Source organism: Homo sapiens, chromosome 3, assembly GCF_000001405.40.
Source record: "Homo sapiens chromosome 3, GRCh38.p14 Primary Assembly".
Classification (NCBI taxonomy): domain Eukaryota; kingdom Metazoa; phylum Chordata; class Mammalia; order Primates; family Hominidae; genus Homo; species Homo sapiens.
This window is the reverse complement of record NC_000003.12, coordinates 150,016,941-150,043,982: the sequence shown is the minus strand read 5'-3', so window position 1 is coordinate 150,043,982 and position 27,042 is coordinate 150,016,941. Positions and strand designations below refer to the sequence as shown.

The 27,042-nt window shown below is 40.3% G+C and overlaps 2 long non-coding RNA genes across 2 annotated transcripts in view, besides 2 other annotated features; one reads left to right on the top strand and one right to left on the bottom strand.

The window, feature by feature from the left end:
• LOC124909445 (uncharacterized) overlaps positions 1–26,761 on the top strand; it is a 33,494-nt gene extending 6,733 nt beyond the window's left edge. The window contains exon 2 of the long non-coding RNA XR_007096126.1: positions 26,005–26,761. This is a non-coding gene — a long non-coding RNA (uncharacterized LOC124909445). The remainder of the gene's footprint in view (positions 1–26,004) is intronic.
• LOC105374153 (uncharacterized) lies at positions 3,237–4,820 on the bottom strand. The gene is made up of 3 exons (XR_924577.3): positions 4,724–4,820; positions 4,113–4,196; positions 3,237–3,354 (listed from the first exon to the last, which is right to left on the bottom strand). It is a non-coding gene; the product is annotated as an uncharacterized LOC105374153 (long non-coding RNA).
• Positions 4,767–5,061: an enhancer, noted in NCBI's record as "tiled region #9408; HepG2 Activating DNase unmatched - State 1:Tss, and K562 Activating DNase unmatched - State 8:EnhW". NCBI's record gives its function as "activates a minimal TATA promoter and a strong SV40 promoter by Sharpr-MPRA in HepG2 and K562 cells {active_cell/tissue: HepG2 | K562}" and the evidence as "EXISTENCE:reporter gene assay evidence [ECO:0000049][PMID:27701403]".
• Positions 20,425–21,624: an enhancer, noted in NCBI's record as "MED14-independent group 3 enhancer chr3:149740146-149741345 (GRCh37/hg19 assembly coordinates)". NCBI's record gives its function as "activates an origin of replication core promoter dependent on BRD2, BRD4, P300/CBP and CDK7 cofactors, and independent of MED14, by STARR-seq in HCT116 cells {active_cell/tissue: HCT116}" and the evidence as "EXISTENCE:reporter gene assay evidence [ECO:0000049][PMID:35650434]".
• Positions 26,762–27,042: the final 281 nt, after the last annotated feature.

Genomic DNA, 27,042 nt, shown 5'->3' with positions numbered 1-27,042 from the left:
AATTAAGTCAAGTTTGTTGATTATGTTATTCAAGCCTTCTATATGCTTTCTTTTTAAATTTTTTATTTTTTTATTTTTATTAAATATAATTTAATATCATACAATCCACTCATTTAATGTGTACAATCCAGTGGATTATTAGTATATTCACATTGCATAACTCATCACCATTATCTAATTCCAGAACATTTTTATAATTCCAAAAAGAAATTTCATATTTTTTAGCAGTCACTCCCCATTTGCTCCAATTGTGACTGCTAAACAATATGAAATTTCTTTCTGGAGTTATAAAAATAGATTAGAAATAGAAATATCTAATCTACTTTCTATTTCTATGGCTTTGCCAATTCTGGACATTTCATACTAATGAAATCATGCTATGTGTGTCCTTTTGTGTCTGGCTTCTTTGGCTTAGCATAATATTTTCAAGGTTCATCTATTTTGTGGCAATTGTCAGAACTTCATTCCTTTTTACAACCTAATAATACTTCATATGTATATATAGTCAATCATCGTCATTCAAAGATTCCATATTTGTGAATTCGCCTACTTGCTAAAATTTATTTGTAATCCCAAAAATAAACATTCATAGTGTTTTCACAGTCATCTGTGGATATGAACAGAACAACAAAAAATTGGATTTACCCAATGTGCATATTCCCAGTTGAGGTCAAACAAAGTGATACCCAGCTGTCTTGTTTTAGCTGTCATACTATAAACAAGTGTCCTTTTTGTGGTCTGTTTATTGCCATGTTGTCCTGGTCCACCTAGTGTTGCTATAAAGGAATACCTGAGGCTGGGTAACTTATAAAGAAAAGAGATTTATTTGGATCATGTTTCTCAGGCTGTACAGGAAGCATTGCACCAGCATCTGCTTCCAGTGAGGGCTTCAGGCTGCTTCCACTCATGGCAGAAGGCCGAAGGGAGCCAGCATGTGCAGAGATCACATGGTGAGAGAGGAAGCAAGAGAGGGAAAAGGTGCTAGGTTCTTTTTAACAACCAGCTCTTGCAGGAACCAATAGAGCAAGAACTCACTCATTACCACAAAGATGGTACCAAGCCATTCATGAGGGATCCATCCCCATAATCCAAATACCTCCCATGAGGCCCCATCTGCAATATTGGGGATCCTATTTCAACATGAAGTTTGAAGGAGTCAAATATCCAAGCCATAGCACTTATTTTTTTTTTGCTTTTTTTTTTTTTTTTTTTTTGCTTTTTGTTGGTGAATTTGCTATTTAAATGCTCCCCACCAAGTGTAGTGCTGAAGTGCTATCTTGTGTTGGTCAGCACAAGAAGTCCGTGATATGCCTTACAGCAAAAATACATGTTTTAAATAAGCTTTATTGAGGCATGAATTATAGTGCTGTTGGCTGTGAGTTAGATGTTAATGAATCAACAATATATATTAAATAAGGTGTCTTTAAAACAGAAACAAAGGCAAAGAAAAATTATTTATTGATTGGTTGACAAAAATATTGTGACCAGAGGCTCACAGGAGCATAACTGTATATTTTGCCTAGGTGCAATGGTTCAGTATTCACTGAGTCAATGCTTATGGTGGCTTTATTTACAATACTGCATTTTGTTTACCCATTCATCGGCTGATGGACATTTGGCTTGATTCCACTTTTGGTCTATTAGCAATAGTGCTGCTATGAATATTCATATATAGGCTTTTGTGTCTCTATATTGTTCTGTCAACTACTGAGAGAGGAATGTTGATGATTCCAAATGTTATTGTGGATCTGTGTATATCTGATTTCAGTCTTACCATTTTTGCGTTATATGTTTTGAAGCTCTGTGTTAAGTACATACACATTTGTGATTCTTATGTCTTCTCGGCGAATTGACACCTTTATTACTAAGTCCTTTACTCCTAGTAATATTCTTTGTCTTAACTGCATGCCAGATATTGCAAAATTTACATTATTAATTGCTGGATTTTGTTATATTCCTTTGAATAGTGTTGGATTTTTTGATACACAGATAAGTTACATGGAATGATTTTGACCCTTTTGAGGCTTGCTTTCCAACTCTGTTAGAGTGAGTTCAGAGGGGTCTTTAGGGCTAATTTAGCCCTACTACTAAAATAATACCCTTCTGAGGAATCTATTCAATTTCCTGTGTATTACAAGGTCTTTTAACTCTGGATGGTGAAATACAAGCTATTTTCAAGTCTAGGAATTCTTCTGCCCCACCATTTTAGTGGCTTTTTTTGCTGCTTCTCATGCATATACAGATCTGTACTCAGCCAAAAACTTGAGGATATTCCTCTACATCTCTCTAGGGCACTCTTGTTGGTTCTCTCTCTCTCTCTCTCTGTCTCTCTCTCTCTCTCTCTCCCTTTCTCTCTCTGTCTCTGGTACTATGCTGCCTTGGCTCCCCAAACTCTGATCTCTGTCTCCTCACTTTGGCATGATGGTTGGGCCAAGTCGGGTTCCTCTTCCTTGTGCTGCAGCTTAGAAAGAGCCTGCAGGCAGAAACCTGGGGACATTACAGAGCTCACCTCAATTGTTTCCCTTCTATCATATATCACAATCCTGCACCACATCTTATTTAATATGTGAAGGCCATTGTTTCATATATTTTGTTTGGTTTTCTAGCTGTATAGGCATGAGGGTAAATCTGGTCCTGGTTCCTCCATCTTGACTGAAAGAGAATTCCTGAGAGCCCAGAGTGCTCTTTTTATGACAAGTCTAATCCAGTTGCCTCCCCTAAACTTTGTAATGACTTTCTTGGGCATCAGTTTCAAAAGAGTAAATAAATGAAGGAGAAAGGGATGTGTGTATGTATCTCTAAAGATGGAAGAAATTAAAATGTGGCCTTTAGGGAACCAGGAATAGTGATGGAGTCTGGACAATGAAAGGTGCAAACACATGAAGGGGAGGTCCACGAGTGGATTATGAAGGCAGAATGGAGCAAACACTGGTCCAGAATCCAGGGTCCTTGAGTCCCTCTGCTGGAATCCACAAATATAGCTAAAATAGTATCCCACTCTAGCCATTCCAGCTACTCAGCTTCATGTCCTGTTTGCCCATACATCCTTCATCCCATAGAGTCTTGCCAAGAATACAGACCATGTAAATAATGTTGACCACACCGCTAGTTTTTGGGGGGAGGGGGGAGTTATCTGAAGGAACTAGAGAACTAAAATGGAAACATCTTTTGCCTTCAAGATTGAAAATGAGAAGATGGAAAGACAGACTATACATGATTAAAAAGGACTCAATCAATGGTTTAAAAAAAATGTTTAATAAGACAGTGAAGTTTCAGCTGTCTGAGAACAAAATGGGTTCAGGAGGGAAGCCCCAAGGAGGGAAGCCATCTTCTGCTTCTGGGTGAGTCTTGGGGCTGAAAGAGTCATGTAAGCCATAATCAGAAAGAGAAATGGGCTCCCGGGTCTAGGTGTTTCTTGCTGCAACTGTTTACTTGCCAAGAAAGCACAGCTGTGGGTCTAATCTTCTCAATTTCTACCTTGGGTTCTGGGAGACACCTGAGCTGCCTTGAGTAACTGAAAGCATACTGGCTGAGACAAGAAAGACGTCAACAATTGTTGAGGGAAAATATGTGAGGTGTTATGTCAGAGCCTTAAAGACCTCATCTCGTAATGTTAACAGCAACCCACATTTCACAGATGAGAAAATTGAGGCTCAGAAAGGTTACATGCATGGTTTCAAGTTGGGGCTCTGTGCCAGCCCACCAGGCCATAAAGTGAAAGAGATTATGAGGTTTTGTGGTGAGAGCAGCTCAAGCCAAGTTCGAATCCTGACTATAAGTAAACATATAAAGATGGGTGACATATACTTGCGTATGTCATAATAAATTATAAATAGAATGATTTTCTTTAGAGAGTTTAACATACTGTCAAAGTACAATTTTCAGAAAGTTAAAGACATAACTCCTGTACAAATTTAGAATGAACACATGTCAAATATGTTATTTAATTCATTAAGGAGGGAATTTGTAAGATGGTAACTCTGGTGCAAAGAATATTGGAGGAACTGGGTGTTCCTTGGCAACAAAAAATAAAGAGAGAATGAGATTACTAGATTAGATACAAAACTTGTTAATGTCTTACAGGGCAATAAAACTATCATCTTTTAGGTTACCTTTTCTCTCAGACAGAAATCATTTGCATCTCCACCAGACAAAAATGTCTGCAAGTTAGCATGTAATTTCACAAAGTCTGAGACCTGTAAACATTAATTAAAAAGGAATCAAACAAAGATACATTTCCCTAGATAATTAAATACTCATTGATGGGTTTCTTGAACAACTCCTTGACTGATATTAAAAGGTCGTGGTTTCTCTCTTGGCCTTATTTCCAAATTTTGGTTGATTTTTTCTTATCAATACACTAGGAAATCTATCATAATAGTGTTAAGTCCTTTGACAGAAAGTGATTCCAGGTTTTATGGGGCCTGGAGTTCTTACAATATTACAGTCTCTTTTAAAAAAAAAGAATACAAAAACATTTACTTTTGCAAATCTTATAAAAATATATAAACATGAGAACACATCAATTTATATCCCCCAAGGGCATTGGAAGGAGTCATGCACAAAAAGGTCCCTGTTTTTTTTTTTAATGTCAAATATTCTGTAACCAAGTATCTTCAACTCTGAGTTAGCGTATAACTGTAATCGTTCATTTTCATGCTGCTGATAAAGACATACCCAAGACTGGGTAATTTATAAAGAAAAAGAGGTTTAATGGGCTTACAGTTCCACATGGCTGTGTCACCGGTGGAGGGTGTCCAGGTTCTTGGCATCTTGAACAAAGAATTGGACAAAACGCACCAGCAAAACAAGGAAGGAATGAAGGGATTTACTGAAAATGAAAGTACACTCCCCAGTGTGGGAGTGGCCGGAGCATAGGGGCTCAAGTGCCTGGATACAGAATCTTCTCAGGTCCAAATACCCTCTGCAGGTTTCCCATTGGCCACTTGGTGGTCACCTCATGTAAATGAAGTGGCGGCCTGCAATCAGAGGCTGCAGCGAAGTTACAAAGGTTACACTCCTGTGCAAACATCTGATAGGCTGCAAAAAACAACCAATCAGAGGTTAAGGTGAAGTTACAAAGTTGCACTTTTACACAAACGAAGACTCTGCCTGCAATCGTCTGACTGGTTGTAGACATTCAATTTCCAATTTGCCTTGCAGAAAATGTGGGGGTTTGTAAAGGGAGTAGTCTCTGGTCCTTTTGTTACTTAGGCTTGGGAAGTTAGGGTTTTCCTTTCAATTTAGTTCTCGGAAGTCAGTGTGAAATGGCCTTAGGTTCCCTGCCTCCATACCTTGTTCTCCTGCCTCAGCTGGGGAGGCCTCATAATCATGATGGAAGATGAAAGGCACATCTTATATTGAGACAGACGAGAGAATGAGAGCCAAGCAAAAAGAGTTTCCCCTTATAAAACCATCAGATCTCATGAGACTTATTCACTACCATGAGAACAGTATGGGGAAAACCAGCCCCATGATTCAATTGTCTCCCACTACTGGGTCCCTCCCACAACACATGGGAATTGTGGAAGCTACAATTCAAGATGAGATTTGGGTGGGGACACAGCCAAACCATATCAATAACCAAGCTACACCCCTATAATTTTTTGTATTATCTAATATTCTATATTATTTTAAGATCATTCTGCTCACTGTTCCACAGGTGATTTGGTTGAATGAATTCCCTACAGCTTTACAAATTGTCTTTAAAATCGTATACCAGAAAATATGTACCAGCATTAAATTTTCACTAGTTAAGAAGATATTAAAGGCTAATGTGAACAAACTGATTAATTTGTGTTCAGTCTATATTTGACGAACTCAAATTTGTTAACAAATGTGTGTTCTTGACAGATTCTATTTTATCCCCATTCACTGAAGAGGCTCTGCCTTCACCACCTCAGTTATTTCCCAGCCCCCAACCTTCAAAGCAAGTTCTGCCTGGTATTTACCAGACTAGTTTTCCTCTTTTCTTTTCTTTTTTATTTTCTTCTTTCTTATTTTCTTCTTTCTTTTCTTTTCTTTTCTTTCTCTTTCTTTCTTTCTTTCTTTCTTTCTTTCTTTCTTTCTTTCTTTCTTTCTTTCTTTCTTTCTCTCTCTCTCTCTCTCCCCTCCCTCCCTTCCTCCCTCCCTGCCTCCTTCCTTTCTTTCTTCTTTTCTTTCTTTCTTTTCTTTCTTCTTTCTTTCTCTCTCTCTCCCCTCCCTCCCTCCCTCCTTTCTTTCTTTCTCTTTCTTTCTTTCTTTCTTTCTTTCTTTCTTTCTTTCTTTCTTTCTTTCTTTCTTTCTTTCCCTTCCTTCCTTCCTTCCTTCCCTTCCTTCCTTCCTTCCTTCCTTCCTTCCTTCCTTTCTCTCTCTCTCTCTCTCTCTCTTTCTTTCTTCTCTTTCTTCTTTTTCTTGACACAGGGTCCCACTATGTTGCCCACACTGACCTTGAGCTCCTGGGTTCACTCGTGGACTCAAGCAATCCTCCCCCCTCAGCCTCTCAAGTAGCTGGGACAACAGCATATACACCTGGCTCTGCCTTTTTTTGATGCTGACTTCGGATGGGGGAAAATTAACAGAGGAAAGAAAGGAAATGCAAGGAGACTACTAGAGTGGAGAATATGTATAGAGCATTTACTATGTGCTGGGCACTGTTCTAAGAGCTCTGCATGTATTAACCTACTGGAGGCAGGCACTGCTACTATTCTTATATTATGAAGGAGGAAACGAAATGAATAAATAGCTTGCTCAGGTAAAGCCAAAACCCACGTTTCCATCTCAGAGCAAAATCACATTCAAAGAAACACAAACAGTTTGCATTTTTCTGTGTCGGGCCTTTGAAAAATGTAGTGTAAACACAGTGTTTGTATCTACTCTTATTTAAAATCCTTTGACTTTTTTTATTCTCTAATTCCCTTGCATTGGGTTTCACATGACAAAAACCCAACTGAAACTTTCTCAAGCCGAAAGGGGCTCTATTGAGGCTCGTGTAACTAGGGTGTTCTCCCTTCAGGCATGACTCGATCTGGGGCCTTTAGTGACGCCATCAGAACTCTTGAGTGTGTTTGTCTCCCCACCCCTTGGCTCTGCTTTTCTCTGTGTGATGGCTTGGTTCTACAGGCAGTTTCTCTCATACTACTGGGAAAATTGCTTCCAACAACTCCAGGCTTACCCAATCCCTACAACTAGAAATCCCAGAGTGAAATAGACATCTCCTCTCTCCCAGTGTCCATAGAGCATGCCATAGGGAAGGCCAGTGTTCCAGATGATGGAGACTGCCGGTTGGTCAGACTGGACCACAGAGATCCCCTCTGTGAAGGTCATGGAAGAAGGTCATGGGGGAACTTAGTTTTTCCAGGACCACACGCAGCGTGAGAAGCATAGTGCCCAAAAAGAAAAAAGAGCATGCTGTTACCTGACGAAGGGGAAAGAATACCAATCAGGTGAAATCAGTGGACATCCATGACACTATGAAACACCGCTCTCCCTCCTTCTGCTGACCCAGAGCTCCACCTTCTTCATGCCATTTAGAAACTATGCTCTCATACTCCAACATCTCTGCATGAATCTACCCAGAGCTCTCAACAGATTATATTTCTGCTTTGTCACTCCCCTCTCACAGCCTCTTTCTGATTTAGGCTTACATGTCAATCATTTACATTTTAATGTGATTTTTTTCACTAATGCACTGTGTCTCCCAATGATATTTGAACTTGAAGCTTTAGTGAGCAATTAAAGCATTTATCCCTAGCTTAAATTAATTTTAGCATAGGCAAACAGGGAGGCTGCAGCTTCCCTGCAACACGTGAAAGTCCAGCAGATGGGCAGTTTTCCATATGCAAGCTGTTGTCACACAGAGTTCACTGACCACACACCGGTTCATCGAGGCAGAAGAACAGAATCTGCCTGCAGCCTGTACACAGAGAATTCCTTCCATAAACAGTCATAGTTTCTTTTAGGCCTGGGACACATGGACAGTCGCTTCTTCTTAAGGAGATTTACTAGGGGCTCAAAATGATCTTCCCTTCTCTGGTTACCCAAACCGAATAGTTGACCCAACCATATTTCATCTGATATCACCATATCTGAATAGCCCTCTTATTCTTGCACAATTCTATTTTTCTTTATACTTCCTCAGTCTCAGCAAAAATACATTATAACCCCTCTCTCTTAGTCATTTTTGACCACTTACTGCCTTTTCTTTTATCTGCTACATAACTCTTTTGAATGAGAGCTGTCTACAGCAATAAAGGAAGGAAGAATTATATTGGCTGGATGATGGAGTGGCATCCCAGATGCTACAAACAGTGGGAATAAATGGAAGGTGACATTTCGTCCCAGCGCTAGGTGGAGGAGGCTATTATTAAATCAACTAACAGCTCACGCGTAGAGCAGCAGCCATGAGATCTCCACTGCTGGGCCAGCCTTTGGTTTTTAAATAGATTCTGCCCACAGGTGGCCCAGTGTTTTCTCTAAATTGTTTCTTGTCAACAAATGAGCTTACCCCTATCCCCTGGGGACGGCCACAAAGCATTGCAAGGTCTACCACTACCCTGCAAGCAAAAGAAAGTCGTGGCATTTCTAGAGGAGAAAAGTGCCTTATGTATTCCTACATTTCTTCCACATTCTTCTGGTTGAGTTGGCATTGATCCATGTAACAAACTTCTTCCCTGAGGAAAAGACTTTGCCAATATAAGAATGCTAAATAATACACACATCACCAGAGTTTATTTTCTTCATTCTGTTGGTGACATTGGTCCCTATGGACCAGTAATCAATAGGAGCTTGCTATTTCTGTGCTGTAAAATACTTTGCCCTAAAATGTTGCTTTCCCTTCCTGTGTTCCTTAGGGCAATGTTTCTTTGTCAACCAAGTACCGTTATAGCTGGGGTCTCAAGGATAGCTGGGGCTGTCTTACCAGTAAAATTCAGGCGTGTCCAGGTACCTCTGGAACACTGTGGACCAATAAAAGGAGCCCATTGGGATGTTCATTTGCATGAGTGTCCAAGAAATTTATGGGAGAAAACTCCTAAAAGAAGAAAGGATTCCTGTGTGTGCACAAATGTGAGTGAAGGGGTGATTTTGGTATGATGAGGAGTGCAGGGCTCACACTGCCTGTGGATCCCCCTTCTTGCTGCCCCCACCCTTAGCTTTCCCCTGTACCTTCTTCCCGCAGTTCTCTACCTAGAGTGGGGGAGAGAGGTTGAGATACAAAAACAAAGAAGAGGTGTTTCACTAACACCTCTGTGAGGCTGTAAAAGCAGAAAGATGCCATCCCCTATGGCCCATGTTACAGAGCACAACACAAATAGAAAATAGTATTTTATCCCCATTTTATAGGGGGCAACCTGTCAGCTCAACATTGCCATCCAGAGCAGCAGAGCACCAAAGCCACCCAGCACAACCCAGTGCTATCTGAGTGGGGAAGGTGGGAGATCACAGGAGGCATGTACAAAGCTGTGGAGACAGGTTATGCTCAGGCTTCACCAAGGCTGCCATCTCCCTGCATTCTTTGGGAATAACTTGGTTGAGGGGCAAGGGTAGCAGGAAAGATGTGTAGCTAGAGTTGCTGAAATTGTGCCTAGATGCTGAGTAATAAAAAATCACTTTATTACTACTTCTGTGACCTGTTTCCCCCAGGTTTGATGTGTGGAGATCAAATTCACAGTTATGATAAAAATTCATTTATTCAATTGTCGGTGGGGTTTTTTTTTTCCAAAATATAATTTTGACTCTAAGTCACTCCATTTTCTAGTTTTTAAATGAGCTGACATTTGGAATTAGTCTGATTTTTTACTGGTCCCATAATATATACCGTTTTAAAGAGGCTCATAAAAGCATGGAAACTCAAGGAAGGCCCAGAGATTATAATATTGATTTCGAATTACAAATACACTTTCAATGGGACAAAGAGCAGGCCAAATCCTTCACCAAGCTTCTACTGGGTGTCCCTATTTTAAGACTGCAATTTGGATGACTGCAATTATTTGCATTTTTATTACTAATTGCTCCTGCCATTGGTGCAGCCAGCCACTTTTGGGTGCAATTACCCCCTCATGGGAGCAATTACATATAAAAACAATTCTGCACGTGCAGCTCATTGTGACAAAACAAAAGGAGGCTGAGGAGAACAATTAGGCTCATCAAGTCCTATCTCCAACTTCATCGTGTGCCAGCTATAAGGTAGAACAGCAGGGACAGGAAAGTAGCACCTACCCTGGGATTTGCAGGCTGGAGCAGTCCTTCCACTGTCTATGAACATTTTTTTTTTTGAGACAGAGTTTTGTTCTTGTTGCCCAGGCTAGAGTGCAATGGCATGATCTCAGCTCACTGCAACCTCCGCCTCCTGGGTTCAAGCGATTCTCCTGCCTCAGCCTCCCGAGTAGCTGGGATTACAGGCACCTGCCACCACGCCGGGCTAATTTTTGTATTTTTAGTAGAGACGGGGTTTCACCACATTGGCCAAGCAGGTCTCAAACTCCTGACGTCAGTTGATCTGCCCTCCTCCGCCTCCCAAAGTGCTGGGATTACAGGCGTGAGCCACTGCGCCCAGCCCTACGAACATATTTTTAGAGGATTAGATTGTGGATTTATTTAATTAGAAAAAAGCAACTCATCTTGCTAAAGTGGATTCCAAACACCAAATCAAGCCATATAGCCCTCTAATTAAGTACCCAGACTTCCAGAAAACGCCAGATTTTTATGAAATTCTGTTTTTTCACAAAGAGCACTGACACATCCATCCCACTGAATTACAGCGTATACACCAGTCTCCCTCCCCTTGTCTCTGCTAGACACACTAACTTAACTGCTCCAGCCCTAAGATTGGGAATGATGGTGTAATGAGCTGACACATGAGGTCTGAGCACCAGGAGGAGCAGCCCCAATTGCAAAATGCAGCAGGCATTCTACACAAACCATCTTAGGGTTTCCAGGCAGCCCACAGACCAAATTGTCATATTACATCTCATCACCCGATTCAAATTTTAATTAGAAATGGGAAATGGGAGTGCATCCAAGGCCACCATCAGCCTGTAAACGATTACCTCATTGTGCCTCAATTTCCTCCTCTGTAAAATGGGGATAAGAATAGCCCTTGCCTCATAGGGTTTTGACAGTGATTAAAAGAGCCAATTCATGGAAACACTTAGAACAGTGCCTAGCACTCCAAAAATGTTAACTATTTTTATCATTACCTGTGCAATTTTGTTGCAATTATTTATTTCTAGATCTGTCTCCTCTTTGAGTTGTTAGGAAAAATTACACAAAACTGGAGATAATCATAGTTTTTCTCATCATGTTCAAGCATCATTTAACACAGACCTAAAGGGAAAGTAACTTTGACTTACTATTTTTTGTTAACTAGAGGCTAGATTCTGGAAAGTTAGATATTTGTAGAAGATTGATAAATTACAAATGATTTTTATCCAGGAAAGAGGCAAACCATTTTCTTCCAATCAAAAAGAATAAACCCAAAGGTTTAGGGTCCTAAAGAAAGGACATTAACCTGTTTTGTACCTAACTTTGACACTGTATTCCAGCATTTTCTTTTTTCCTATTGACTACATTTATCAGTTTCCTCCTATTCTCCTTTGCTCCAGCTTTGCCATTTTGCTGGTCCCCTCATTAGTGAATTAAATAAATCTTTGACACACACTCACTATACATTTTTCTGAGATCCATGTTTTTACTTTTTGTAAAAAAAAGTATTTGCCAGAAGCCATGCACTCCGTGCAGGTGGAACTCTCTCACAGTCATCTTTGTGTGCTGGTTCAGTGTTTCTCACATTTTAATGTGCATCCAAATCAACTGAGTGTTACCACCAGCGAATCCATATGGGTCTGCAGCAACCTCAATTCTTCCCTCCTAAGAAGAAAGAATTTGAGGAGGCGTAAGGCAAAAGGAGAGACTGAGGCAAGTTTTAGAGCAGGAATCAAAGTTATTAATAATTTAAAAAGCTTTAGGGCAGGAATGAAAGGAAGAGGGCCAAACAGGCGACTTGAGAGATCAAATGCATGCTTTGACCTCTGACTTCCAGGGTCTTGCATTACTTCCCTGATTCTTCCCGTGGGGTGGGCTGTCCACATAGGCAGTGGCCTGCTAGCGTTTGGGAGGGGAACATGAGTGGTGTGTTTAGTGGAGTTGTACGCATGCTCTCTTGAGGCGTTCTCCCCTTACCAGTCGAATGTCCCTAGAAGGTCATATACCATTTAAACTCTACCATTTTGCTTCTTAATGCTCATGCTTGAGCTCACTTGCCCAACTCCTGAGGTCTTATTGGGAAGCTGCTGATTACCAGTTTCAGGCATTTTCTATCTTATCGGGAGACTGCCTTTCCCTGGCACTAGCTGCACCTGACCAATTATTATTTTGGAAAGACAGTTAACAACCGCCTGACCATCACCTGATGGTTGCCTGACATTCCTGGTTGGGGGTTGGGGAGTCCTCTCCTGCCCTGAGCATGCCTGACTAGCCACCTACTGTAACATGACGATTCACTCATTCTGGGGAGAGGCCTAAAATACGAAATTTCTGCAGATGCTGCTGGCTTTAGTCCTGAGCCCAAAGCCTGGACTTGGAAAATGCAGGTGCTTAGAAATGTATGTAAACATCCACCTGTGAGGACAAATGACATGTCTTACTCCTTATTGCTACCTCCTCCAATAAGTGTCTTTTATTTCCACAATGTATATGCAGTAATGCAGAGGACCTGATTTGGGTGGGGACACAATAGGGCTTGCTTATCATAATGACGTAGTTAAATGAGAGCTTATTAAGAGGGTGAGGGAAGATGGGAGGTAGTTCAATAATGGGAAAACACAGTCAGTTAGGATGTAAAAACTATGCCACTTACAGTGGTTATGGTCCCCCCTGTTGATGCCCCCATTGCAGGACTCTCAGCAGGACTAACACCAGCAGCATTGCCCAACCTCATTCCTCAACGGCTGCGTGGATCCCCTCTCAGGCAATCTCAGGCTTAAGAGAAGTGAATCATAGTTGGCCTTAAAAACACAATGGGGACTTCTAACCTAGGCAGAAGACTTAGTTTCTAGCTTCTGTTGGCTCAGGGCATCCTACCTCCATGTGCCTTCATGTATATAAAATTAACAGGCAGTTAACTCTACTGCTAGAAAAATAATCATATAGCCCTTGTGTGAATTTAGGCAGAATTATAATTGTCTACCCCAGTGGTTCTCAAACCTGAGGTCACATTAGAATTGGGAGCTTGTATGAAAACATTCATATGCCTGGGTCTCACTTCTAGAGAGTCTGCTATAGTTAGCTTGGGCAACACATGAACAATATTCCTCTATGCCTAAAGAGGAGATGGCATTAGCTCATCAGCTGCGCTGTCATTGTGGTAAGTGAGAAGTTGTTAGGCATTGACTTCTTCTATCATTCTCCAACACATTAAGGCAAAGGTGTCTCTAGTCATCTTAGAAGCACTGCAAATTTTTCAAATAAAGTAGTTTTAATTTAATTTTCTGTACTTTATAATGTGAATACATTAGAACTGCTTTTCAGGGGGAAGTGCTAGATGCTGCGAAAGGTCTGGTATAAGTGGCATGAATCCTGACCATGAGGTGCTACTTCCCCAAGCACCCGGAAATAGGAAGAATAATGTTTTACTTGAGGCTGAAACTAATACAGTCCACACATAATGGATAAAATTAAGCAACCAAATGATTGTAAATATGTGATTATAAAGTTTTCTTTGGCTTTTAAATAGAATACTTTTATTATTGAAATAATATCTTTCTAAAAATAAATTACTTTGGAAAGAGTTATATGAGGTAAGAATGTAAAGTTTCCATTTCTACACCCTCTCGTAACTCCCCATCGCCCCCTGCTCCCAGCTGCTCCTTCCTCAAAGAGAGTTTTCATTGAGTTTAGCTCATTTCCTTCTAGAGCTCCTCTGCGCGTGTACAAATGCATGCTCGTGTGTATGTGTGTGTATAGCTTTTTCTTCTTTTTGCATCCTGTTTCCAAGTCTTCCCCACCATTCTCACTTAAATCTACTCTAGTGAGGTTTTCCTTTATCCCAGTTAACTTTATCACAGGCAACTTCAGCAAAGCTCCCACAGTGGTAAATCCTATGGCAAATCTCTTGTTGTCACAGTGGCTCACTCCTGACACCACACACATCTGGTTTTCCTCCCACCTCCAACTACTCCTTCTCAGTCTCCTCTGCAGTTTTTTTCTTTAATCCTCTCTCTGATCTCTAAATTTAGACACCTTCCCCCCAACCCCCAGTCCTCCAAGCCCTTTCCTGCTCTATGTGCACTTACTCCCTTAGTGATCTCTGCAAGTCTCTTGGCTTTAAACACCATCTGTACGCTGATGACACCCAAATTTATATTTCCAGTGTGAATAACTCTCGTAAACTTCATGTTTTGGTTTAGTTTTTGTTATTACATGAATATTTATTTGTATGCATATATCTTTTTTTCCTTCCCAACTTTTACTTTAGGTTCAGGGATACATGTGCAGGTTTGTTACATGGGTAAATTACATGTTGTGGGGATTTGATACACAAAGAATTTTGTCACCCAGGTAATGAGTACAGCACTTGATAGGTAGTTTTTCAATCCTCACTCTCCTCCCACCCTTCACCCGCAAGCGGCTCCAGAATCTTTTGTTGTCTCCTTTGTGTACATGTGTAGTTAACATTTAACTCCCACTTATAAATGAGAACATGCAGTATTTGATTTTTGGATTCCTGCATTAATATTCTTAGGATAATGGCCTTCAGCTCCATCCATGTTGCTACAAAGAACATGATCTCATTCTTTATTATGGCTGCATAGTATTCCAGGGTGTATATGTACCACATTTTCTTTATCTAGCCCACTGTCAATGGGCATCTAGGTTGATTCCATGTCTTTTTTTGGTGGGGGGAAGGAGTTGTTTTATTAATTTATTTTTTATTTTTTGCTTTACATTTTAAAAATTTTTTTATTTCAATAGGTTTTGGGGGAGCAGGTGGTGTTTGGTTACATGAATAAGCTCTTCAGTGGTAATTTCTGGGATTTTGGTGCACCCATCACCCAAGCAGTGTATGCTGTACTCAGTGTGTAGTCTTTTATCCCTTGCCACCCCCCACCCTTTCCCTGAGCCTCCAAAGTCCAATGTATTATTCTTATACCTTTACATCGTCATAGCTTAGCTCCCACATATGAGTGAGAACATAACATTGTTTGGTTTTTCATTCCTGAGTTACTTCACTTAAAATAATAGTCTCCAATTCCACCCAGGTTGCTGTGAATGCCATTATTTCATTCCTTTTTATGGCTGAGTAGTATTCCATGGTGTGTGTGTGTATATATATATATGTGTGTGTGTGTGTGTGTGTGTATATATATATAGATATATATAGATACATGTGATATATATCACTGTGCAAGTATCTTTTCCGCATAATGACTTATTTTCCTCTGGGTAGGTACCTAGTAATAGGATTGCTGGATCAAACACTAGATCTACTTTTAGTTCTTTAAGGAATCTCCACACTGTTTTCCATAGTGGTTGTACTAGTTTATATTCCCACCAGCAGTGTAGAAGTGTTCTGTTTTCACCATATCCATGCCAACATCTATTTTTTTTTATTTTTTCATTATGGCCATTCTTGCAGGAGTGAGGTGGTATGGAATTGTGGTTTTGATTTGCATTTCCCTGATAATTAGTGATGTTGAGCATTTTTCCATATGCTTGTGGGCCGTTTGTACATCTTATTTTGAGAATTGTCTGTTCATGTCCTTAGCCCACTTTTTGATGGGATTGTTTGTTTTTTCTTGCTGATTTGTTTGAATTCTTTGTAGATTCTGGATATTAGTTCTTTGTTGGATGTATAGATTGTGAAGATTTTCTCCCACTCTGTGGGTTGTCTGTTAACTCTGCTGATTATTTCTGTGTAGAAGCTTTTTAGTTTAATTAAATCCCATCTATTTATTTTTGTTTTTGTTGCATTTACTTTTGAGTTCTTAGTCATGAAGTCTTTGCCTAAGCCAATGTCTAGAAGGGTTTTTCCAATGTTATCTTCTAGAATCTTTATGGTTTCAGGTCTTAGATTTAAGTCTTTGATCCATCTCAAGTTGATTTTTTTTATAAGGTGAGAGATGAGGATCCAGTTTCATTCTTCTGCATGTGGCTTGCCAATTATCCCAGCACCATTTGTTGAACAGGGTGTCCTTTCCCCACTTTATGTTTTTGTTTGCTTTGTCAAAGATTAGTTGGCTGTATTAGAGTTTATTTCTCGGTTCTCTATTCTGTTCCATTGGTCTATGTGCCTATTTTTATACCAATACCATGCTGTTTTGGTGACTATGGCCTTATAGTATAGTTTGAAGTTAGGTAATGTGATGCCTCCAGATTTGTTCTTTTTTCTTAGTCCTGCTTTTGCTATGTGGGCTCTTTTTTGGTTCCATATGAATTTTAAGACTTTTTTTTTCTAGTTCTGAGAAGAATGATCATGGTATATTGATGGGAATTGCATTGAATTTGTGCATTGCTTTTGGCAGTATCGTCATTTTCACAGTATTGATTCTACCCATCCATGAACATGGGATGTGTTTCTATTTGCTTGTATCATCTATGATTTCTTTCAGCAGTGTTTTGTAGTTTTCCTTGTAGAGGTCCTTCATGTCCTTGGTTAGGTATATCCCTAAGTATTTTGTTTTTTTGCAGCTATTGTGAAAGGTGCTGAGTTCTTGATTTGATTCTCATCTTGGTCACTGTTGGTGTATAGTAGAGCTACTGACTTATGTACATTAAATTTGTATCCTGAAACTTTGCTGAACTCATTTACCAGTTCTAGAAACTTTTTTTTGGATGAGTCTTTAGAGTTTTTTAGGTATACAATCATATCATCAGCAAACAGCAATTCTCTTTACTGATGTGGATGCCTTTTATTTCTTTCTCTTGTCTGATTTCTCTGGCTAGGACTTCCAGTACTATGTTGAACAGAAGTGGTGAAAGTGGGCATCCTTGTCTTGTTCTAGTTCTCAGGGGGAATGCTTTCAACTTTTCCCCATTTGGTATAATATTGACTGTGGGTTTGTGATAGATGGATTTTACTATGTTAAGGTATGTCCCTTGATGTCAATTTTGCTGAGGTTTTTAATCATAATGGGTACTGGATTTTGTCAAATGTTTTTTCTGCATATATTGAGATGATCAAGTGATTTTTGTTTTTAATTCTGTTTAAGTGGTGTATCACATTTATTGACTTACACATGTTAAACCATCCCTGCATCCCTAGTATAAAACCCTTTTGATCATGGTGGATTATCTTTTTGATATGCTGTTGGATTTGGTTCACTAGCATTTTGTTGAGGATTTTTGCATCTATGTTCATCTGGGATATTGGTCTGTAGTTTTCTTTTTTGTTACGTCCTTCCTTCATTTTAATATTAGGGTGATACTGGCTTCATAGAATGATTTAGGGAGGAGTCTCTTTTCTCCGTCTTTTGTAATAGTGTCAATAGGTTTGGTACCAATTCTTTGAATATCTGATAGAATTCAGCTTTGAATCTCTCTGGTCCTGGACATTTTTTGTTGGCAGTTTTTTATTACCCTTTCAATCTTGCTGCTTGTTATTGGTCTGTTCAGACATTCTATATTTTCCTGGTTTAATCAAGGGGATTGTATATTTCCAGGAATTTATCTATCCCCTCTAGGTTTTCTAGTTTATGGGCATAAAGGTGTTCATGATAGCCTTGAATAATCTTTTGTATTTCTGTGCTGTCAGTACTAATATCTCCCATTTCGTTTCTAATTGAGCTTATTTGGATTGTCTCTCTTCTTTTCTTGGTTAATCTCACTAATGGTCTATCAATTTTATTTATCTTTTCAAAGAACCAGCTTTTTGTTTCATTTATCTTTTGTATTTTTTCCCAATTTTATTTAGTTCTCCTCTGATCTTAGTTCTTTCTTTCCTTCTGCTGGATTTGGGTTTGAATTATTCTTGTTTCTCCAGTTCCATGAGGTCTGACCTTAGATTATTTATTTGTGCTCTTTCAGTCTTTTTGGTGTGGGCATTTAATGAACTTTCCTCTTAGCAATGCTTTTGCTGTATCCCAGAGGTTTTGATAGGTTATGTCACTATTATCATTCAGTTCAAAGAATTTTTTAATTTCCATCCTGATTTCATTGTTGACCCAACGTTCAGGAGCAAGTTATTTAATTTCCACATATTTGCATGGTTTTGAGAGTTCCTTTTGAAGTTGTTTTCCAATTTTATTCCACTGTGGTCTGAGAGAGTACTTGATATAATTTCAGTTTTCTTAAATTTACTGAGACTTGTGTGTTGGCCTATCATATGATCTCTCTTGGAGAATGATCCATGTGCTGATGAATAGAATGTATATTCTAGGGCCAGGCACAGTGGCTCACACCTATAATCCCAGCACTTTGGAAGGCCAAGGCAGGTGGATCACCTGAGTTCAGGAGTTCAAGACCAGCCTGGCCAACATGTCGAAAACCCATCTCCACTTGATCTTAGCCAAAAGGCCAAGAAGCGATTGGAACCCCATCTCTACTAAAAATACAAAAAAATAAAAGATAAAAATTAGCCGGGTGTGGTGGCAGGCACCTGTAATCCCAGCTACTTGGGAGGCTGAGGCAGGAGAATTGCTTGAACCCAAGAGGTGGAGGTTGCAGCAGTGAGCCGGAGCCAAGATCATGCCATTGCACTCCAACCTGGTGACAGAAGGAGACTCTGTCTCAAAAAAAAAAAAAAAAGCATATTCTTCAGTTGCTTGGTAGACTGTTCTGTAAATATCTGTTAAGTCCATTTGTCGTAGGGTACATTTAGATTTAGGTTCACTGTTTCTTTGTTGACTTTCTGTCTTGATGACCTGTCTAGTGCTGTCAGTGGAGTATAGTCCCCCATTATTATTGTGTTACCATCTATCTCATTTATTAGGTCATAGTAATTGCTTTATAAATTTGGGAGCTCCAGTGTTAAGTGCATATATATTTAGAATTGTGATATTCTCCTGTTGGGCTAGTCCTTTTATCATTATATAATGTCCCACTTTGTCTTTTTAAACTGTTGTTGCTTTAAAGTTTGTTTTGTCTGATATAAGAATAGCTATTCCTGCTTGCTTTTGGTGTCCATTTGCATGGAATATCTTTTTCCACCCCTTTACCTTAAGTTTATATGAGTCCTTACGTGTGTTTATATGAGTCCTTAAGGGTTAGGTGAGTCTCCTGAAGACACAGAAACTTGGCTGGTGAATTCTTATTCATTCTACTGTTCTGTATCTTTTAAGTGGAGCATTTAGGACATTTACATTGAATGTTAGTGCTGAGATGTGAGTTACTATTCTATTCATTGTGCATTTGTTGCCTGAATACCTTGGCTTTTTTCATTGTGTTATTGTTATATAGGTCCTGTGAGATTTATGCTCCAAGGAGGTTCTGTTTTGGTGTATTTCAAGGATTTGCTTCAAGATTTAGAGCTCCTTTTAGCAGTTCTTGTAGTGCTGTCTTGGTAGTGGCAGATTCTCTCGGCATTTGTTTGTTTGGAAAAGACTGTATCTTTCCTTCATTTATGAAGCTCAGTTTTGCTGGATACAAAATTCTTGGCTGATAATTGTTTTGTTTAAGGAGGCTAAAAAATAGGTCCCCAATCCCTTCTAGCTCATAGGGTTTCTGCTGAGAAATCTGCTGCTAATCTGTTAAGTTTTCCTTTGCAGGTTACCTGATGCTTTTGCCTCACAACTCTTAAGATTCTTTCCTTTGTCTTGACTTTAGGTAACCTGATGATTATGTGCCTAGAGGGTGTTCTTTTTGTGATGAATTTCCCAGGTGTTCTTTGAGCTTCTTGTATTTGGATGTCTAGATCTCTAGCAAAGCCAGGGAAATTTTCATCGATTATTAGCGCAAATATGTTTTCCAGACTTTTAGATTTCTCTTCTTCCTCTGGAACACCAATTACTCACCAATTATTTGGAAGGTTTAACATAGTCCCAAACTTCTTGGAGGCTTTGTTTATTTTAAAAAATTCCTTTCTCTTTGTCTTTGATGGATTGTGTTAATTCAAAAGCCTTGTCTCCAAGCTCTGGAGTTGTTTCTTCTGCTTGTTCGATTGTATTGCGGAGACTTTCCAGTGCACTTTGCATTTCTCTAAATGTGTCCTTGATTTGCATAAGTTGCGATTGTTTTTTATTTATGCTATCTGTTTCACTGAAGAATTTTCCTTTCATATCCTGTATCATGTTTTTCATTTCTTTAAGTTGGATTTTATCTTTCTCTGGTGCCTCCTGTATTAGCTTAATTCTGAATTCTTTTTTTGGCAGTTCAGAGATTCTGTCTTGGTTTGGATCCATTGCTGGTGAGCTGGTATGATCTTTTGGGCGTGTTAAAGAACTGTGTTTTGTCATACTACCAGAAGTGTGTTTCTGGTTCCTTCTCATTTGGGTAGACTATGTCAGAGGGAAGACCTGGGATTCAAGGGCTGCTCTTCAGATTCTTTTGTCCCATGGGGTGCTCCCTTGATGTGGTGTTCTCCCCCTTCCCCTAGGAATGTGGCTTCCTGAGAGCTGAACTGTAATGGTTGTTTTTGCTTTTCTGGGTCTTACCACCCAGCAGAGCTACCAGGCTCTGGGCTGGTACTGAGGAGTGTCTGCAAAGAGTCCTGTGATGTGATCCGTTTTCAGGCCTTGCAGGCATGGATACCAGCACCTGCTCCAGTGGAGGTAGCAGGAGACTGAAGTGGACTCTGTGAGGATCTTTGGTTGTGTTTTTGTTTAGTGCACTGGTTTTGTGTTGGTTAAGCTCCAGGCAGGAAGTGCCACTTTCAAGAGTTTATCAGCTGCGGCCCTGTAAGGAGGATGCAAATTTACCCTAGGGAGACCTGGTTAAGTATTCAGGTTTCTCAGGCAGTGGGCAGGGCCATAGAGCTCCCAAGAGATTATGACCTTTATCTTCCGCTACCAGGGCAGGTAGAGAAAGACCATCTAGTGGGGACAGGGATAGTGTGTCTGAGCTGAGCCTCTCCTTGGGCGGAGTTTGCTGCAGCTGCTGTGGGGAATGGGTGTGTGGCTCCCAGTCCAAGGGAGCTATATTCCCTGGAGGATTATGGCTGCTTCTGCTGAGTCATACAGGTTGCCAGGGAAGTGGGGGAAAGCTGGCAGTCACAGGCCTCACTTCACTCCCACTCAGCCCACAGTCCTAAAGGCTGGTCTCACTCCCACCGAGGCCCTGCAACAGCACCAAGTCTATTTCTAGGCAGCCCATGACCAGGGCTGAGAACTTGCCCCAGACCATGAGCCTCCCGGCTGAGAAAACAAGTTAACTCACAGTTTTTCAGCATCTCAGGGAGCCTGCAGCAGTGATCCAGTTCCTTCAAACTGTCTGTGGATTCTCTCGGCTTTCCTGGTATGTGCCTGAGAAAGCAAGTTGACTCAGTTTTTCAGCATCTCAGGGAGCCTGAAGCAGTGATCCAGTTGCTTCAAACGTCTGTGGATTCCCTCGGCTTTCCTGGTATGTTCCTGTGCTACAAGAATTGTAGCAAAAAAGCTCATGATGTGAGTCTCCACATGCTGCTCTCTCCATATGAGCAGGAGCTGCAAGCTAGTCCTGCCTCCTATTCGCCATCTTAATCCTGGTTTGGGCTGATTCCATGTCTTTGCTATTGTGAATAGTGCTGTGATGAACATACATGTGCATGTGTCTTTATGGTAGAACAATTTATATTCCGTTGGGTACATACCCAATAACGGGATTGCTGGGTCAAGTGGTAGTTCTGTTTTAAGTTCTTTGAGAAATCTCCAGATTGCTTTCCACAGTGGCTGAACTAATTTACACTCCCACCAGCAGTGTCTAAGTGTTCCCTTTTCTCTGCAACTTTGCCAGCATGTCATTTTTTGACTTTTTATTAATTGCCATTATGACTGGTGTGAGATGGTGTCTCATTGTGGCTTTGATTTGTATTTCTCTAATGATTAGTGATGTTGAGAATTTTTTCACATGCTTGCCCATGTGTATGTGTTCTTTTGAGAGTATCTGTTCATGTCCTTTGCCCATTTTTTAATGGGGTTATTTATTTTTTGCTTATTGATTTGCTTAAGTTCCTTACAGATTCTGGATATTAGACCTTTGTCAGATGCATAGTTTGCAAATATTTTCTCCCATTCTGTAGGTTGTCTGTTTACTCTGTTGATAGTTTCTTTTGCTGTGCAGATGCTCTTGGTTTAATTAGGTCCCACTTATCAATTTTTTTGTTGGTTGCAATTGCTTCTGGAGTCTTTATCATGAACTCTTTCCAGGGCCTGTGTCCAGAATGGTATTTCCTAGGTTTTCTTCTAGGTTTTTTGTAGTTTTAGGTTTTACATTTAAGTCATATGTCTTTGTGTAAGTATTTATGAGTTGTAATTTTTTTTTTTTTTTTGAGACAGAGTCTCGCTCTGTGGCCCAGGCTGGAGTGCAGTGGCACGATCTCGGCTCACTGCAAGCTCCATCTCCCAGGTTCATGCCCTTCTCCTGCCTCAGCCTCCCGAGTAGCTGGGACTACAGGTGCCCGCCACCATGCCTGGCTAATTTTTTGTATTTTTAGTGGAGATGGGGTTTCACCATATTAGCCAGGGTGGTCTCCATCTCCTGACCTCGTGATCCACCCACCTTGCCTCCCAAAGTACTGGGATTACAGGTGTGAGCCACCGCCAGCCTATGAGTTGCAATTTTTTAAGTGGAATTAACGAATGAGAACGTGGCCAGGCATGGTGGCTCACGCCTGTAATCCCAGCACTTTGGGAGGCCAAAGCAGATGAATCACTTGAGGTCAGGGGTTTGAGACCAGCCTGGTCAACATGGTGAAGCCTCATCTCTACTAAAAATACAAAAATTAGCCGGTTATGGTGGTGCATGTTTGTAATTCCAGCTACTCAGAAGGCTGAGGCACAAGAATCGCTCGAACCTGGGAGACAGACGTTGCAGTGAGCCGAGATCACGCCATTCTACTCCAGCCCGGATGACAGTGAGACCCCATCTAAAAAATAAAAAAAAGAATGAGAATGTTTTAGAATACCCAGGACTGCAATCAAGGTCACCTAAGTTTAATTTCTGGGAAGCAGATTTGAAATTGATTGAATTTAGTGAATAAAAACTGAATCAATTTTATCATGAGATGGTGAGAATGAAGCATAGAAAAAGAAAACCCAGTGAGCAAAAAGTATACATTGTTGTCCAGCATGCTCAGTCAGTGCGAAAATATTTATTGAATATCTATGATAGAGCAGGCACATGCAAAGGAGTGAGACACTGACTCAGACAAACAGGAATTCAGCCCTAGAAAGATTCTCTCTCTGAGGAGGTACTGCTAATCTATTGCCCCTGTCTGTGGCCTTGATCAGATTTCATCTTCACTGAGCAACTTCAGGTTTATGCCCTGATCCTGCATGTTATACATGAATCTTTCAGGCATTTCAAAGAATGTCTCCCAATAAAACAACCACTTTCAGAATCATAATAGCAACATCAGTGTTTACTTTGCACCTGACAGCCACTAAACACTTTACAATCTAATTTAGTCTTTGCAGTTATTCTCTGAGGTACGTAGTATCTCCGTTTTCTAGATGAGGAAACTGAGGCTTAGCAAGATTAGGTCAGTTGTCCAAGATCACATTGCTCCACATAGTGGCAGAGTGAAGATAAGGACATAGTTCTGAGTCCAAAGCCCGTGGTCATAATCCCTGAGCTATCCTGAGTCTAGGATTCTGGTTTAGACAATTGGTCCTTCATTAATCAGTTGAAACAAATCAGTGCTTTGCTGTCCATCAACTTTGAGTGACCTGATAAAGCTTAATTTTTGCCTGACAGCAGGCCTTGACCCAAGATTACATAAATTCATGGCACCATAGTGAAAGGCTTAGCTTGGGAGCCAGTGCACATCCCAGAAGGACATCTATCTTACTTTTGCCCTTCTAATCCCAAAAAAGGTAAACAGCAACAAGGACCACAGTGTTTATGTAACAGGAAAAATGGCCCGTGTGTGAAAGACATAGTATTCTTCCTGAGAGGTTTTCTTCCATGTCACTGCTACTTGCAAGTATCTTACAAGGCTATTGATTAAGAGTTTTATTCATTAACAGCAGTGAGGTTACCCTAACTAATACAGTTTCACTGTGAAGATATTTTCTATTCAGACTTAAAAGACTAATTTTGCCAAGGAGTTTGCAAAGCCCAGAAGAGTAGCTTTGAAGACATTGAAAGTGAGGTTCAAAGGACAGCTCATATTTTGTTGTGGCTTTATTCAAAACATTTATGGCAATGATGAGTTTATTCGGATGATATGAGAGGGAATAATATTCTATTAATGATTTTTTGAAGGCATCTATACAATTTCATCTAAAAAATCTCTTGTGAAATTCACAGTCTTTAAAATAAAATGAATAGGCTTATCATTTGGGTTCTGATGCCTGTGTTCTCATCGGCTGAATGGTGTGTTCTCATCTGCCAAATGAGGGGTAGAGATGAATGAGCCGGGAAGTACCTTCCAGCATCAACATTCTAGGCTGGCTCAACATGGGAAATTTAACTTAAAGTAGGAGTAATCGCTTATTACAAACAGTTCAAGACTTAGGGACAAATGAAGCTTCTCGCTCGTCTTAACTCTGAGCTTGGAGCAGAAGTCATGAAGTGTCTGTGTAAGAATGTGAGCATATTTACAGACACCAGCTGATATAAAGGATTCTAGCTACATTTTAACTAGGCTATCATTTTTTTAAAAATCACATACATTGTATGACTCTACCTTAAATAAAATGATTAATTGAAGTATTTCTTTTTTTGTGCAAAGTAGAGTACTGCTAGATCCTCGAAAGGTTTCTAAGAGAAAACACATCAAGGCGCAGTGGCTCACGCCTGTAATCCCAGCACTTTGGGAGACCAGGGCGGGCGGATCACGAGGTCAAGAAATCGAGAAAACATATCAGCTCAGCTAGGCCAATTTGACTTCCTCTTCCTTCCGTCATTTTCTTCACCCCTTTGTTCTCTGTCCTTTGAACTCCTCCTCATTAGAGCCCCTGGCTCTCTAATTTCACAGTCCCACCATTTGACATTGAATTCACCTTTCCTTTTGACAGGACCTGCTGCTTTATCTTTTCCCTTTTCTAACTTTGCAAAGATAAAATCTTATTTCTCAATGAAAACTGAGACTCAGATACAAGGTATACCCAAGAATTGACTTAATTGTCAAAGAAAATTAGTGATGAGTCAGATAACTGAGCTAACCCAAATCCAATTTTAAATCTGGTATAATAATGGTCCTTTTTCAAACTCAGAGCATAACCAAATCACTACTTTTTGAAGGCTTCATGAAACTCAATCAAGCATACAGCAGGGTATGTGAATGGCAATCTTTACAAGAATCATTAGTACCAGCCTGCCTTTCACCGGCTTGAACCTAACCAAGCTGGAACAACCTCAGGTATAACTAGAAACTGAAATCTAAACAGCAAATTTTAAGCTTCTGCTCCGTTGAGGGTTAAAGTAGCAACTGCAATTAATTTTATCAATTAGGCTGAGTAGTCTCTAAAAACAGATTTGAGAATTTGATTTTACTCTTCAGATAATTTGGGTTCTTATTTATTCCATAAGCTAAAGTTAGACTCTAAATCTAATATTCTCTCTCTCTCTTTTCCCCCAGCTCTGTCTCCTCACCTCCTTTACCTTGGTCCTCCCACCTCCTTTTTATCTCTCCCTCCCCTGTCCTCCCTCTTCTCTCTCCTTTGCCTTTGGTTGCTGGTGGGGGAATGTCCTCCAAGGCTCAGGCTTTTTACCATTTCTCCTTTGAGGGGTCCAGTCCATTCTTGTGAATCCACCTCTCTTATCTCTGTCTGTGATTTCTATTTTTGGTCTCTAGTTCTATTCTTTCATCTAAATTCCAGGTCTGCATGACACATTTGCATGAATGTTGTAGCTTGTCTCCAAGAATGCTGCCTCAATTTCTTCTCCTGTTAGTGAATTCTATCCCTTCACCCCCTTGAATCTGGGCTGATGTGTGACTGTTTTAACCAACAGAAATAGTGATGCTGTGACACTTCTAAGGCTAGGATTTAAGAAGCCTTGCAGAGTCCACCAGGGTCCCTTGGAACACAAATTGTGGGAGAAGCAATCCCTGAAGAAAGCCAGCCATTATGGAAGAAATCCAACGACCCTGAGACCACTATGCTGTAAGGAAGACCAAGCCAGCAAAGAAGAAGAAACCATGTCCGGGTGCGGTGGCTCACGCCTGTAATCCCAGCACTTTGGGAGGCCGAGGTGGGCGGATCACTAGGTCAAGAGAAAGAGACCATCCTGGCCAACATGGTGAAACCCCATCTCTACTAAAAATACAAAAATTAGCTGGGCGTGGTGGCACGTGCCTGTAGTCCCAGCTACTCGGGAGGCTGAGGCAGGAGAACCGCTTTGAACCTGGGGGGCGGAGGTTGTAGTGAGCCAAGATTGCACCACTGCACTCCAGCCTGGCAACAGAGTGAAAAAAAAAAAAAAAAAAAAAAAAAGAAGAAGAAACCATATGGAGACAGAGATGCCCCACCAGTACCCAAATGTCTCAGACATCACAGGCATCAGACACATTAGTAAAGAAGCTGTAAGCCAACCCCAGTTATTTGACTGGAATCATATGAGGAACCCTAAGTAAGAACTACATCTCTGAGCTCATCAAGGCCACAGAATGGTGAGAGGTAATCATAAATGGTTGTTTTAAGCCACAAAGTTCAGGAGTAGATGGTTATATGGAATAAATAACTACCAGAGGTGTCTAACTTTCATTCAATCACTGACTCTTTCATTCAGCAATTGTTTATTGAACACTTTATGTGCAGCAACTTGCAAGGCACTAGGAACAAGAATGAATAAGACAGGCCCAACCCCTACTACTTTTATGGGGTTGACGGTCTTTTGGAAAGGCATTGAAAAATTGGTTGATTGATCATTTCAACTTCTAATACCTGTTCCCCTGTGCTCACTCTAAGCTGGTGACTTTTCTCATTTTTCATTGAGACTTTAGAAATAATCAGAAAGGAACTCCTTCATCAACCTAGAATGTAGACTCCT